At 43.7% G+C, this 12905-nt stretch overlaps 1 protein-coding gene across 6 annotated transcripts in view, besides 4 other annotated features; it reads right to left on the reverse strand.

Annotated features, from left to right (window-relative positions):
- ARHGAP20 (Rho GTPase activating protein 20) overlaps nt 1–3889 on the reverse strand; it is a 136147-nt gene extending 132258 nt beyond the window's left edge. For 2 of the 6 annotated variants that reach the window (NM_001258418.2, NM_001258416.2), the window contains exon 1: nt 3679–3889. Coding sequence is in view for 3 of the 6 variants with exons in the window: in NM_020809.4 (NP_065860.2) it covers nt 2827–2931 (105 nt within the window). In the remaining 3 variants the exon portion in view is untranslated. Of the gene's footprint in view, nt 1–2357; nt 2526–2826; nt 3138–3335; nt 3429–3678 lie in introns of those variants that run through there. The other 4 variants (NM_020809.4, NM_001258417.2, NM_001384657.1 and 1 more) reach the window with 4 other exon arrangements.
- Nucleotides 1356–2001: an enhancer, noted in NCBI's record as "H3K4me1 hESC enhancer chr11:110581379-110582024 (GRCh37/hg19 assembly coordinates)". NCBI's record gives its function as "activates a minimal SCP1, AML or CMV promoter by ChIP-STARR-seq in naive H9 embryonic stem cells {active_cell/tissue: H9 hESC(naive)}" and the evidence as "EXISTENCE:reporter gene assay evidence [ECO:0000049][PMID:30033119]".
- Nucleotides 2984–3485: an enhancer, noted in NCBI's record as "H3K4me1 hESC enhancer chr11:110583007-110583508 (GRCh37/hg19 assembly coordinates)". NCBI's record gives its function as "activates a minimal SCP1, AML or CMV promoter by ChIP-STARR-seq in primed H9 embryonic stem cells {active_cell/tissue: H9 hESC(primed)}" and the evidence as "EXISTENCE:reporter gene assay evidence [ECO:0000049][PMID:30033119]".
- Nucleotides 3009–3068: a silencer, noted in NCBI's record as "silent region_3892". NCBI's record gives its function as "represses an Ori minimal core promoter by ATAC-STARR-seq in GM12878 lymphoblastoid cells {active_cell/tissue: GM12878}" and the evidence as "EXISTENCE:reporter gene assay evidence [ECO:0000049][PMID:35858748]".
- Nucleotides 3089–3248: a silencer, noted in NCBI's record as "silent region_3893". NCBI's record gives its function as "represses an Ori minimal core promoter by ATAC-STARR-seq in GM12878 lymphoblastoid cells {active_cell/tissue: GM12878}" and the evidence as "EXISTENCE:reporter gene assay evidence [ECO:0000049][PMID:35858748]".

Here is a 12905-nt window from a genome sequence, read left to right on the forward strand (position 1 = left end):
ACTGCTGTACATAACCCAACTAATATTTACGGAAAATCTAATATATAGCAGACACTATTCTAGGTGCTGGAGAGGCAGCCCTAAGCAATACAGATAAGGTCCCTATTATCATAGTTTTCAATCTGGTGACAGATGTGGGTAACAGATAACAAGCAAGTAAATAAGAAAATATCAGGCCAGGATGAATGCTAAGATGACAATAAAGCAGAAGGTATAGAGAATGACTGAGGAGCACTTCCACTTAGGTAGTCAATGGCAGGCCTCTGCTAGAACCTACGATCTGACAATAATATGAAAGTCAGGACTGCAAAGACCTGGGGCTGAAGCACAGAGAAACACCATCAAGGCCTCAAAATAAGAATGAATTTGATGACTTGAAATATGAAGAGGAAGAAGGCCCATGTGGTTGGAGAATACACAAACAAGGGGGGGATGCATAGATGAGGTGGCAGAAGTAGACAGGGCCAAGAAAAAGGGGTCTGAATTTTATTATAAATGGATGAAAAGCCACTGCAGGATTTTAAGCAGGTAAGCAACATGATTAATTTACATTTTAAAAGATTATTCTGGTGCAAAGTGGTGACTGGATCAAAGAAGGGCAAGAAAGGTGTTAGGCAAGTTAAGACATTTCTGCAAAGGTACAAGTGAGAGATGGCGGCTTGGCTTGGACTACACTGGCAACAGTGGAGATGAAGTGGAGAAATTCAAGACACGTTCGGATTGACAATAGCTTCCCTGATGGATTGGTTGGTGCAGAGAGAGGAAATGAGTTGAAAACGAATCCTAGATTTTTGGCTTGAACAACTGGGACACAAAGGTATGAATTACAGATATAGGGATGTTGCAAACAGTAAGTGCTAACATTTATTAAATGTCTATTATATGTCATTATTCACTGAATTTCACATTTAATCTTCCCAACGATGTTGGAAAGGTAGGTACTGGTTTGTTAATGTGTGAACCTGTTAAGTTTCATAACAAACGACAGCATCTTAAGGACGGTGGCTATGATAAGTAAAAAGAATGTGGGAAAAGAGCGAAGCAACCCTTCATTTATTGGACAAGTATTACTTGATAAATGATAATAAAGCTCCTCTTTAATGCTTCCTCCCTTTGGCAGTGTTATACCCTTAGTAAAAAAAAAAGAAAAAAAGAAAAAACTGTTCAGAAAAATAAATCTTTGATTTTCTTCCAATTCCTTACGTTTACAAAAATAAAATGCTTTAAGTTTTAAAATTTATGTCAGTAAATGTAGGGCTAGCCTGATAAATTCACGTTTTATTTGGGAAGACTTGACTACACACACACACACTCCCTCCATCTCCGAAGGGGAAAAGCGACAAGGACAAACCGCAGCCTCAATACATCAAAGGCTGAGCTGGCACTACAGCCCATACATCATCAAGTTCACGGACACCCCTAGATGGCTCCGTGACACGGTCAAGGTCCTTGGGAACTCCCACACATTTCTATACTCGGCACACCGATCACCTCTCTTCAACTGACCTCTAGCCAACCTAAGATCCTGGTGGGAAGATTTATGAAAGGCAGTAAAATCAAGACAAGCAGGGAACCTGCGTAACCCCTTTAAGTCTCTAATGAAACAAATGCAATCCCTTAAGATATTTCTTAAGGAAAAGCTAGAAGATGCCTCTAATCGCAACTTGTTTCCAGAAAAGCTGGAAGGGCACCACTAAGACAAGGCAAAAAAAAAAAAAAAGGCAAAATATCGGAAAGTCTTATGCTGGAAGCGGGGGTGGGGAGGCGGGGGACAGGCAGACAGGGCTAGAAACACCCAAATCAATTCCTCAGGGAGCGAAACGGCAGAGGCCGGCAGCCCGCGGCCCACGTGCACTTGCTCAGGGAACCGTTCCAGCGAAACCTGACCCGGATCGGAATCCTCCCGCAGCACAGCGGCCGTGTTTATCGGAATGGAACGCTACAAGTTGTCACCTGCATCCCTCTCCCAGCTTTGACAGGGAACACGCGCTGCCCCCACGCCCACACCGACACCCGGATCCCTATCCAGCCCGGCCAGAGTCCCAGGGGCCAGGGACCAGTGCAGGGAGAAGGTCCCCCACCTCAGCCCTCAGGACCCCCAACCACAGCCCACCCGCCCCCACCCTGCTCGGTTCTAGGCCCAGCCGAACCTACATGTCCCCGTAGTGTCGAGCGTTATCATCCACAGTCGCCCCTCAAACTGTGACCCCCACCTGGGAGACCCGGAATCATCCAGGACCCTGGTGTGGGGGGCAGTACTCCCCATATCTGCCCCCCGAAAACTGCTATGGAGCAGCCGCGCCTCGGCGGGCAGGTGAGGGGGCCGAGCCCACCAGCGCCGCAGCCCCGCTGCCTACCTTCTTCAGCGCCGGCTGCCGCTCCCGGGCAGACATCGCCGGCCCTGACTTTGGGGCTGACACCGCCAAAGGGCAGTCAGTGCTCGCCCAGGCCACTTCGGGAGGCCCAGGGGCACGGCGAGGGGTCGGGGAAAGGCGATCGCCCACTACAGCCCGCGCGCCTAGACTGAGGGAGGAGCCGGGCTGCAGAACCGGCGGCGGATGGAGACGGGAGGGAGGCTGCGAGGTCGCTCGAGGAGAGACTAAGGCTCTAGAAACGGAGAAGCGGGCGCTCTGCGGGAGGCGGCGGCGCTGCCGCTGGCCGTCAAGGGCGGGAAGTGTTCTGGGACTCTCATTAGGGGCCGCGAGCCTCGAGCGTCAAATTCCCGCGGCGTCCGCCTAGCGCGCTGCTGTGGCGGGCGCGGAGGGCGCGCGCCGGCAGTGGGGGCTGCGGCGGCGGAGGGCACGGGCCCCCGCTCAGCGTCCTCACCTTCTTGGTGCAGCTGCCTCCCGCGAGCCGAGACACTCCTGTCAGGGAAGAGGAGCGCCCCGGCTGTCCCCCTAGAGTCTCCTGCTGGGGGGACATCGCTTCCATGAAGAAAATCTTCAAACAAATCCCAGCCCAGGAGGAGGCTACACGATCATGTCCGCGGGCTGCCGGCCGGAGGGGCGAGGACGCGCGGGCGGAGGCGCGGCTGCCGTGCTCAGGCAGGGAGCCGAGCTCCGGGTGCTCGCCGCGCGCCTCCCGTCGGGGCCATGTACCTCCGCCTGCGCTCGACACCGCGGGCTGGAGGCGAGTGCAGCGGCGACAGCCCGTCAGCGCCGCGGCCCGCCCCGCCTCGGGCCCGCCCCCTCCGCTCCGGGCGCCCTGCGCCGGGGCCCGCCCCCGCAGCCCTCCTCAGCCCTCCTCCAGCCTGGGCCCTCCTAGCCTCGTCCCAGCCTGCGGCGCGCCTGGCGGGCGTCTCTCTATATATGTTAGCACACCGGCCACCGGCTGACCTTTTCGGTCTGTGACTCCGCGTGGGTGCAGCCCGCAGGAGCTCATCGGCCTGTGTCACGCACGGGGGCCTCTAGTGCACGGACACGCGCCTCTCCCGCCACCTGCCCACTCCCACCAGACCCCATCCCTTCCCGCGCCGTGCCCGCGGCGGAAGGCGCCCCTGCAGCGCGTGCATCCGCGGAGCGGTGGCGACCTCAGCCTGAGCAGAGGAGTTGCAGTGATTCCTGCCTCGCTTTCAGCGGACTGCGGAGGGAATCCCCCACCCCACCCCACTGGGGATAGGGTGGCACGTCGCAGAGTGTCGCAGCTGTACAAATTTGGAAGCCCACAGCATCGCCTGACCTCTTGTGCAATCCCGAACGCTAGCCTGTTCGGGTAACCCTGAGTGGGCTTCTGCAGCCGGTCATGTCAGCGGCCCCTGCACATTTGCACCCGCGGTTTCCGCTGTCTGCAGGCTGCAGAGACGGGGGCATTCCAAACGTGAAAGAGCAATGAAGGAAAATGCAGACAGAGCGAGGACGCCGAAATTTGGCTAAGCTATTGAGAAGGCTACAATATGTGGAAGTGTTTATCAGATATCTGCGCCGAGAGCATAACTTCCTGTCAGCCCAAATAGAGGCAAAAATATTTTAAAGGCCAAAGAATAATCAGAGGGAGAGGATTTGGAGCTGACCCGCGTTGAGCTGAGTGTTGCTGCACTTTGCGGGGCTGGTTGACTGGTACGGATGATTCGGTAGATGGCATTCTTCCCTTGGAGTCAGGACTAGAGAAGCAGTGGCGGATTAGTGAGGAAGGACACCACGCTATGATATTAGGTTGTGGAAGGGGTTTGGTTTGCTTTTGTGGTAAGAAGAAAAAAATCGAGGTTCCTGCCAGGTTAGGCTGTTATTAGGACAGGTTGTAGAAGAATAGGGCTCTGGCCGGCTCTGTTCCAAGGAAGGGATGCTGTCCAACACACACTCGCGCGCGCACACATCACCACCATGCCCAGGAATGGTTTATTGTGGAAATAATAGGGGGAAAATGTTCCAGCCCGTTTTAAGCCTTGTCCACCTCACACTGTTTAAAGTAGGCTTACATAGGCTTTATAAATCACACACACGTATAAATCACACACACGTATAAATCACATGTATGATTTGTAAATCATCTATTATTGTGTTTATGTATGTGTGCATATACACACACAGTTTTTCATGGCTACTCTCTTTTTGCAGCTGAGACCCATGTGCAGCGACAGGACTTTGCCCCCACCATAGAGTTTGTCATGAATTCTACACGCAGAGGGCTTTGCAGTTCCTTTCATTCCTTGCTGAAATCATCCACTTACAACTCGTTAGCCTCTTTTGGTTCCTATCATAAATGCACGCTCCCAATTTTCCTTACTCTGTTTTATTTCGATAACACTTATCTCCTTCTAATATATCATGTAATTTACTTAGTATGTTTAGTGTTTATTATCTATATCTCAGAGAAATGCAAGCTTCCAGAGGGCAGGAATCTTTTGTGGGCTTTTGTTGTTGTTGTTGTTATTGTTGTTCTTTGTCGTATACCAAGTGCTTGAAGCAGTGTCTGGTGCAATAAATGTTCGTTTGCTAAGGGAATTAATGAGGCATACAAGGGTTATGAGATAGATCTTAGAAGGGCCAGACTGGTAGAGTTGGTTGTTTCACTCAGAGTGTCCCATGTTTCTGTTTGTGATCTTCTTTTTTGCACAGGTTTGATCTGTGATCAATACTACATGTTCCAAATCAAAGTAGTATTTTACTGCAGATTTGGAAAACTCACTCTTACTTCTTAATTTTTAAGTGCTTTTACTTCAAAACCCATTAGTTTTGGTTTGCATAGAAAACTGTCCCATACCTAAAGAAAACTGACTTTGCTCAGATTAATGCTATCACCAGAATCGTGTTTTAAGAACACAAATTTGATCACATCACTCCCCTGATTAAACCCTTCTTTGGCTCCTTGTGTTTACAGAATAAATTTCAAATGCCATAGTATGATATGCAAGACTGCCTATAAACAGACATCCTTGCCTCCACTTATTTCTCTTGTCATTTATTGCTCCTCTTCAACTCTCACCCTATTCCCTGTCACATTGAATTCGCCAAGAAGTCACCTTCCAAGAACTCGCCTTGCCTTCTCACATCTTTGTGACTTTGAACCTGCTGTTTGCATTGCGTGGGAAGTTTTCCTTCTATATTTCCAACCCCTATTACTTTACACTTAAATATCTAATACTTGGTGCATAGTAAATGCCCAGTAAATATTTGTTGAGGAAATAAATCTCCCAGATTTGAATCAATAATTACCTTAGAAAAATCTTCCTGACTTTATTTCTCCTTATCTAGCTACCTCCACACACCAACCATACACATGGGGCATCCACTGTAGGTAACATTTATTGATTGCTTACTTAATGCCAGTGAGTACCTGTGGGTAACAGGTAACATTTATTGAGTGCTTACTTAATGCCAGACACTGTTCTAAGCATTTTACACACATTAATTTAGTTATATCTTTATAATCTATGAGGTAGCTTCTTTTACTACCCCATTTTATAGATGAGAAAACCAAGCCACAAGGATATTAAGTAATATGCTCAAACAGCTAGTAAGTAGTCTTGCTGAGCTTAGAACATGGGAAGTCTGCTTCAGAACCTGTGTTCTTAGCCACGTGGCCAACTGCCTCTCCTGTGTGTATTTCTTTGTCTTTATAACACATATTACATTATACCATTACCATCTGTTTTACTTGCCTTGAAATAGAAGATCGTATTTTGTCTTTTCTTCTTTATGCCAGGCACACAAGTATGCTCTCAATGAATTTTTTTTCAATGTCTTACCTTTGAAAGAATGGATGCAATATTAGAAACAACCATCTTCATCTCCATTATTATGCTGTACAGTTTAAGGAAGATACTCTGATGGGAAAGAAACAATTCTGGACTATTCATTAGACTGTGAAACTATTTTCCATGCACTAGGAATGTTATGTTGTAGAAAAGGGTGGTGCCAGAAAACAAAAATGATAAGACAGTTAAGGGAGTGTGATGACCTATGTCTGACAAAAGCAGAAAGTATCCAGAATATTTCGAAACAAATCTTAAAGCAAACTACTAGGAATAGCAACACTTAACAGCTGGGAAATGCCAATAGCAGACCTTTAGCAGAAACTAAGAATGAAACCAAAAGGTTTTGCCAACCATTAGATTAAATAACAGTGAAGAAATTTAACTATAAAAGGAAATGTTTGGGCCAGGTACAGTGACTCATGCCTATAATCTCAGCACTTTAGGAGGTTGAGGAGGGAGAATTGTGTGAGGCCAGAAGTTCAAGACCCTGTCTCTACAAAAAGGAAAAAAAAAATAGTGGGGTGTGGTGGCACATGCCTGTAGTCCCAGCTACTCAGGAGGCTGAGGCAGGAGGATCGCTTGAGCCAAGGAGTTTAAGGTTACAGTGAACTATGATTGTGCCACTGCACTTGAGCCTGAGTGACATAGTGAGACCCTGTTTGTTAATTAAAAAATAAAAAAGATGTTCATGAAACTCATTCATTCAATGATATTTATGTGCAGGATACCGTGCCAGGTGCTTGGGGTACAGTCAAGATGAATCCCCAGAAATAGTCCTTGCAAACCCCAAGATGCACACAAGAATCATTCACTGCTATCTAAATACCCTACATGAGTGATTGCAAACTGATGGCCATCTGGGCGAATTCTGGCTTGTTTTTCAACATATGCACTTTCTTTTCAAACTTATTACTAACCTTAAAAATCAAAATATTTCAAATAGAATTCTGGGTTCTCTTGAAAAAAAAAATCAAGAAATTAACAACATTTAAACTCAACTTCTCCAAGGAGCCAGTCAGCTAAAACTGACTCATAGCTGTGTTATTTCATTAAATGCTCAAAACAACCCTAAGGAAAATGCACTCTCATAGTCATCACTGTCCCTAGTTCTGGGAAACTACAAACAAATAAGGCAATGGAAGGTGAAAAAGTGGCAAGAGACATAGAGAAGAGGCCAGGGAATGAGAAACACAAAGTGGGTGCTTTTTTAAAAAAAGTAAGCCAAAGTAATAGAGTTTTTCAGGAACAGAAACGGTCGACAATATCTTCCGCTGCAAGAGAGTAAGCTGGTAAAGACTAAAGTATAACGAGAAGAGAGAAAGTTGAGACTACTCTTTCAAGAAGCTTGGCCCAGAATGAATATGAGAAAGGGCAGGAGCTATCAGAGGAAGATGGGATCTATTTTATTACTAAATTAGAGGGCAGATCTGTTAAGAGTGAGGCAAGATGTTAGTCTTCACTTGGAAAACAAAGCCAGAAGGAAGTGTGTTTCTAGAAGAAGAAAGTGATCAGTAACGTCAAGAAAGATGACTGAAAAATATCTACTGAATTTATCAACCAGCAGGTCATTGATGAGTTTATCTGGAAAGGCTTGAGTGAAATGAATGGACCAGGGATTTAGAAGAGAGGAAGAAGTGAAGACAGTGAATGTGCACAACTCTCTTGGGAAGTATGATTGGGACAGGGAGGAGAGAGAGCTGAAGAGGATAGGAGTTTGGAGGGAAGCCATATGGGTGTAACTGTAGACATGAGTATATTTAAATAGTGATGGGAAGACATTAGGGGTGACCCAGAAGCTGAAGACACTGGGACCAATGGGATGGGAATGGGACCTCTAGGGCAAAGATAGAGGAGTTAGCCTAGATCAGAGCAAGAGCAGTGCTTTCATTATCATAATAGGAAAGCAGGAAAGAATGAGTGCTAAGATAGAAAGCTCTTCTGATGTGTTCTATTTTCTCTGTAAAATAGGCACTGAATACAGTTTGAGGCTAGGAACTCAAAACATGTGTGTTCCGTTTGTGAATCAGTGAATTCTGCTGGTATTGGGCAGCAGGGCGAATTTAAGGGTTGGAGGAGAGTTGAATGTTCTAAACAGACACTGAAGAATGAGAATAAGCAAGGATAAGTTTGTATTGAGGGCTCAGCTGAAGTATGAAGCCATGAATTTATAATGGACTGCCTACACAGCCTATGGTTTCTCTTCAAGGATTCATTCAAGGAGAAGGTATGCCAGCTGAGTGTGATGAAGAAGAATAATGCAAGAGAGTTGAGAATGGTGGTGAGAGAGCAGTTGATGGGGAAGACCATGGCCTGGGTTCTTCCTCACTCCTTAAAAATCACTAACATGTCTTTCTTCTGGTTTCCTTCTCAAATAATTTTGTGGTCTTATTTCTTTTTTCTTCCAGCCCTGAAACACTCAGGGATTCACCCTCACTCTTCCTGGTGCCCTTGGAAGCCTCTGTGATTTTGCCCTCATTCCTTGCATGTAATACCAACTGAGTCCTTTTTAATTACTTCCCTGACTACCTCCCAAACCTCCCTACTGATCACCCAAACTGACTCACTTATATGCTGATATGATTTGGGTGTGTCCCCACCCAAATCTCATCTTGAATTGTAGCTCCCATAATCCCCACCTGTTGTGGGAAGGACCCAGTGGGAAGTAGTTTAATCATAGGGGCAGGTTTTTCCCATGCTGTTCTCATGATAGTGAATAAGTCTCATGAGATCCGATGGTTTCCTAAAGGGCAGTTTCCCTACACACGCTCTCTTGCCTGCCACCATGTAAGACATGCCTTTGTTGCTCCTTTGCCTTCTACCATGATTGTGAGGCCTCCTCAACCATGTGGAACTGTGATTCCATCAAACCTGTTTTTCTTTATAAATTATCCAGTCTTGAATATGTCTTTATTAGCAGTGTGAAAACAGACTAATACGTATGCCTCGTAAACACGTCAAACTCCAATAGGTCTAAGGCTGAATTAATATTAACTCCTTATCTCCTTCCCTGACCCTTACCAGTTCTCTGTAACTTCCACCATCATCTTCCTCAGTAGCTGAAGCTTAAAACCTTGTGAAAATGACAGATTTTGCTTTATCTTCAAACCTATTCAACAGCCTCTCACCCCACTGCAGCCCAGTCACTCTCATTTGACCACACAATTGACCACCAAGTTCTCTTTACTCTTATTTTGTAAACCTGAGATCTTTCCCTTCATTTTTATTTGCAGCCATACCCACAGAAAATTTCTGTACTCGATTTTTTTTCCTAAAGAGTTTTCTTCCCCCTTTGTGTATTCCTTGGGGGAATAAAAAATGGTGCACTTTGGTGATTCATAAAAAGATAAACACAGAATTACCTTATAACCCAGAAGTTCCACTCAAGTGCTAGGTATATACCTCAAAGAGTAAAAAACAAAGTCTCAAACAGATACTTGTATGCCAGCATTCATTGCATCATTATTCACAATAGCCGAAATGTGGAGACAACTCAACTGTTCATCACCAGATGAATGGATAAATGAAACGTGGTATATACATACGATGGAATATATTCAGCTTTAAATAGGAATGGAGCTTTGATACATGCTACAATATCAATGACCCTTGAAAACATGCTAAGTAAAATAAGCCAGATACAAAGGACAAATATTGTGTGATTCCATTCATATGAAATATAGATATTTCATATTCTAGAGAATAGGCAAATTTATAGAGATAGGAAGTAGGTAAGAGTTTACTAGGAGCTGGGGGAGAGAGGGGTAAGTTATTGCTTAATGATTACAGAGATTCTGTTTGGGGTGAGAAAAGAGTTTTGGAAATGGATGGTGGTGATGGCTGCACAACATTGTGAATAATTAATGCCAATAAACTGTACATTTAAAAATGGTTAAATGACAATAATAACAAAAAGTCTCCTTGCTTATACCCTTGCCTTCCTCTAAGCAATAACACATATTCCATCTTCCTCAAACACCAGTCTGAGCACGTCTGTGTGCTCCTGGAAACCTTCAGTGGCTCTCCATTACTCTCAGTACTCAATCCACACTCACAAAGGTCCTATCACATCTTCCTGCCTGCATCTCAGACATGAATTCTTGCCTATCTCTGACCTGCACTCAAGCTTCTTCCTCGACCCTCAATTCTGCAGAGTACGAAGACAGCTGTGTAGAGCCTAGATGCTTCTCTAACCAGTCTAAGTGACACACAGAAAGCCTCGTGACTTTTTGTCATTTGAGGGCACCAATGGCTCAGCTCTCGGGTATGACTATGAGCCTTGATATAAGAGAGCTTTTGACCTTAAGTAATTCTCAGGACCAAATGTGGAGCTCTCTTTCTCTTTCTTTTATTGGAATATCAAAAGGGGCTATTTCCTCAAAACACATAATCCCATTTATAAGAGAGGAAGTTTATAGGCTGGAGTTAGGGAACAGAGAGGAGGAAGAAAGGAGAAAAGGGAGTATAAGAGAGAGGGTGTTTGGAGTGAGGGCTGGAAAAAGAGCTTGGGGTCACACTGTGAAGGACCTTGGATTCCATGGTGAAAATCTGGACATTATTTTCCAGGGAAAGTGGTAGACAGCAGACTGGCATTTGATGAGTGCCTGCCATGTGTTAGGTATACCTTACATACTTCATTGTTACCAAAAAGGTAGGTATTATTATACTCATTTGAAATATGAAGATGAGGTTCAGAGAAGCTAAGTGACTTTCTGAAGTCACGCAATCAATAAGTGGCAGAGCCAAGATTTGAATTCAGATCTGATTGGGTTCAAAACGTATATGCTTACAATATCAACAGTGTTACAGTATTAATAATAGCTGCCATTCATTGGTATTTAACTTTGAAGGATAGGGAGATATAAATTTGGCAGTTAAACACTGTTCTAAGTACTTTATACACTACCATCATCTTCAAAAACAACTCTAATGGCTTGTATTTTTAAGCCCAGTATACAAATGAAGAGCCATGTACTTAGAGATATTAAGCCACTTGTCAAAGATCATATAGCTACTGAGCAAAAGAGCCAGATTCAGACCCAGGACACCAAAGCCCATGTTCTTAACTACTAAGACTTGATGGTACAGTCTTCTTTTTGTTCCTTATAACTGGAGAGCATCATAAATTGTGTTGCACTCATTTTCATGTGACATAAAACTAAATACGACCCCAAACCCTCCTCCTTAGTCCACGAACAGCTTGCTTGCTGGTCAGAGGCTTAGCCTCATCATTTTAAAAATGTATTTTACAAAGTAACTTGATATTTTAACAAGAAACAGCAACAAGGAGGAGGAATGTCTGTTTTCCATCAAAGTTCAGATTGCTCTGTGAACCAGACCAAATTAATTAACTATTCATCATTTATTGTCTACTGCATGCCTCATGCTCTTGCCCATTCTTTAATGTGACACTTCTCTCTCTCACACAAATCACTTTGGGTTTCTTTTCTTTTTCCTTTTGGTTTTTCCTAGGCATTTCGATTGCCTGGATGTTTGTTAGTTCTGTCTATGTTTATGTTGTAATCCTCTCCAGAGATTTGTGGAAATAGCCCTTGTAACCATACTCCTAATTCACTGCCATATTTGCTGCAAGGTTGATTATTGTCTGTGCTGATATGGTAGAGTTAGGGAGCTTGGTCCCATGAGTAAATTTAGTGAGTTGTGCAAGATTGTTCAGCTTAATAAGTGGTAGAGCAGCATTCCAATCCAGTTCTGACTCTCAAAAATATAAGACTTCAATCCTTTTCCTTAAATCCTACTTAAGTTACAAGTAAAAATAAACTGTTGCATATTTTCAATAGAAAATAACAAAAAATGATATTGATAATTTTAAAAAGCACTATTTTAAAATGCTTACATCAAATAAAAGAGAGATAAGAAATTAGATACAGGCATTCTGAAAGATTTTTTACTTTAAAGCATATTTCGCCAAGTGTGCTATAGGGAACAGGAATCCCTTACGATGCTTTACAAAATAGGGTTCCAGAGTCAAACAGATTTTGCAAATACTGCCCATGTGACAATTATAATGTATATTATAAAATGTGTATATTAAAATCATTTATATATTCTGCAAAGAAACACTCCTAAATTCCTTCTTAATTTTTTCTTCTATGTAATTAATGTACTAATATAGTCCTAACTGTATTAGTATGTTGTTACCAAAAAGGTAGGTATTATTATATTCATTTGAAATATGAAGATGAGGTTCAGAGAAGCTAAGGGACTTTCTAAAGTAACGCAATCAATAAGTGGCAGGGCCAAAATGTCTATATCTATATCTATGCTATCTCTCTCTATATATATCTTGGTATCTATATATCTATATATCTATATATATATGTGTATATCTTGGTATATATATACTATATATAGTTAGTACTAATATAGTTAACGTGATAATATAGTCCCATCAGCAATACTGCTAGTTACACAATGAATTTTCTCTTTTTTAAAAACTGTTATTTTAAATTTAAAGGTACATGTGCAGGTTTGTTACACAGGTAAACTTGTGTCATGAGGGTTTGTTGTATAGATCATTTCATCACCCAAGTATTAAGCCTAGTACCTATTAGTTGTTTTTTTCAATCTTCTCCCTCTTCCCACCCTCCACCCTCCAAAAGGCCCCAGGGTGTGTTGCTGCCCTCCATGTGTCCGTGTGTTCTCATCATTTAGCTCCCACTTTTAAGTAAGAGCACTTGGTATTTGGTTTTCT

The sequence above is a fragment of the Homo sapiens genome, chromosome 11 (genome assembly GCF_000001405.40).
Source record: "Homo sapiens chromosome 11, GRCh38.p14 Primary Assembly".
Classification (NCBI taxonomy): Eukaryota; Metazoa; Chordata; class Mammalia; order Primates; family Hominidae; genus Homo; species Homo sapiens.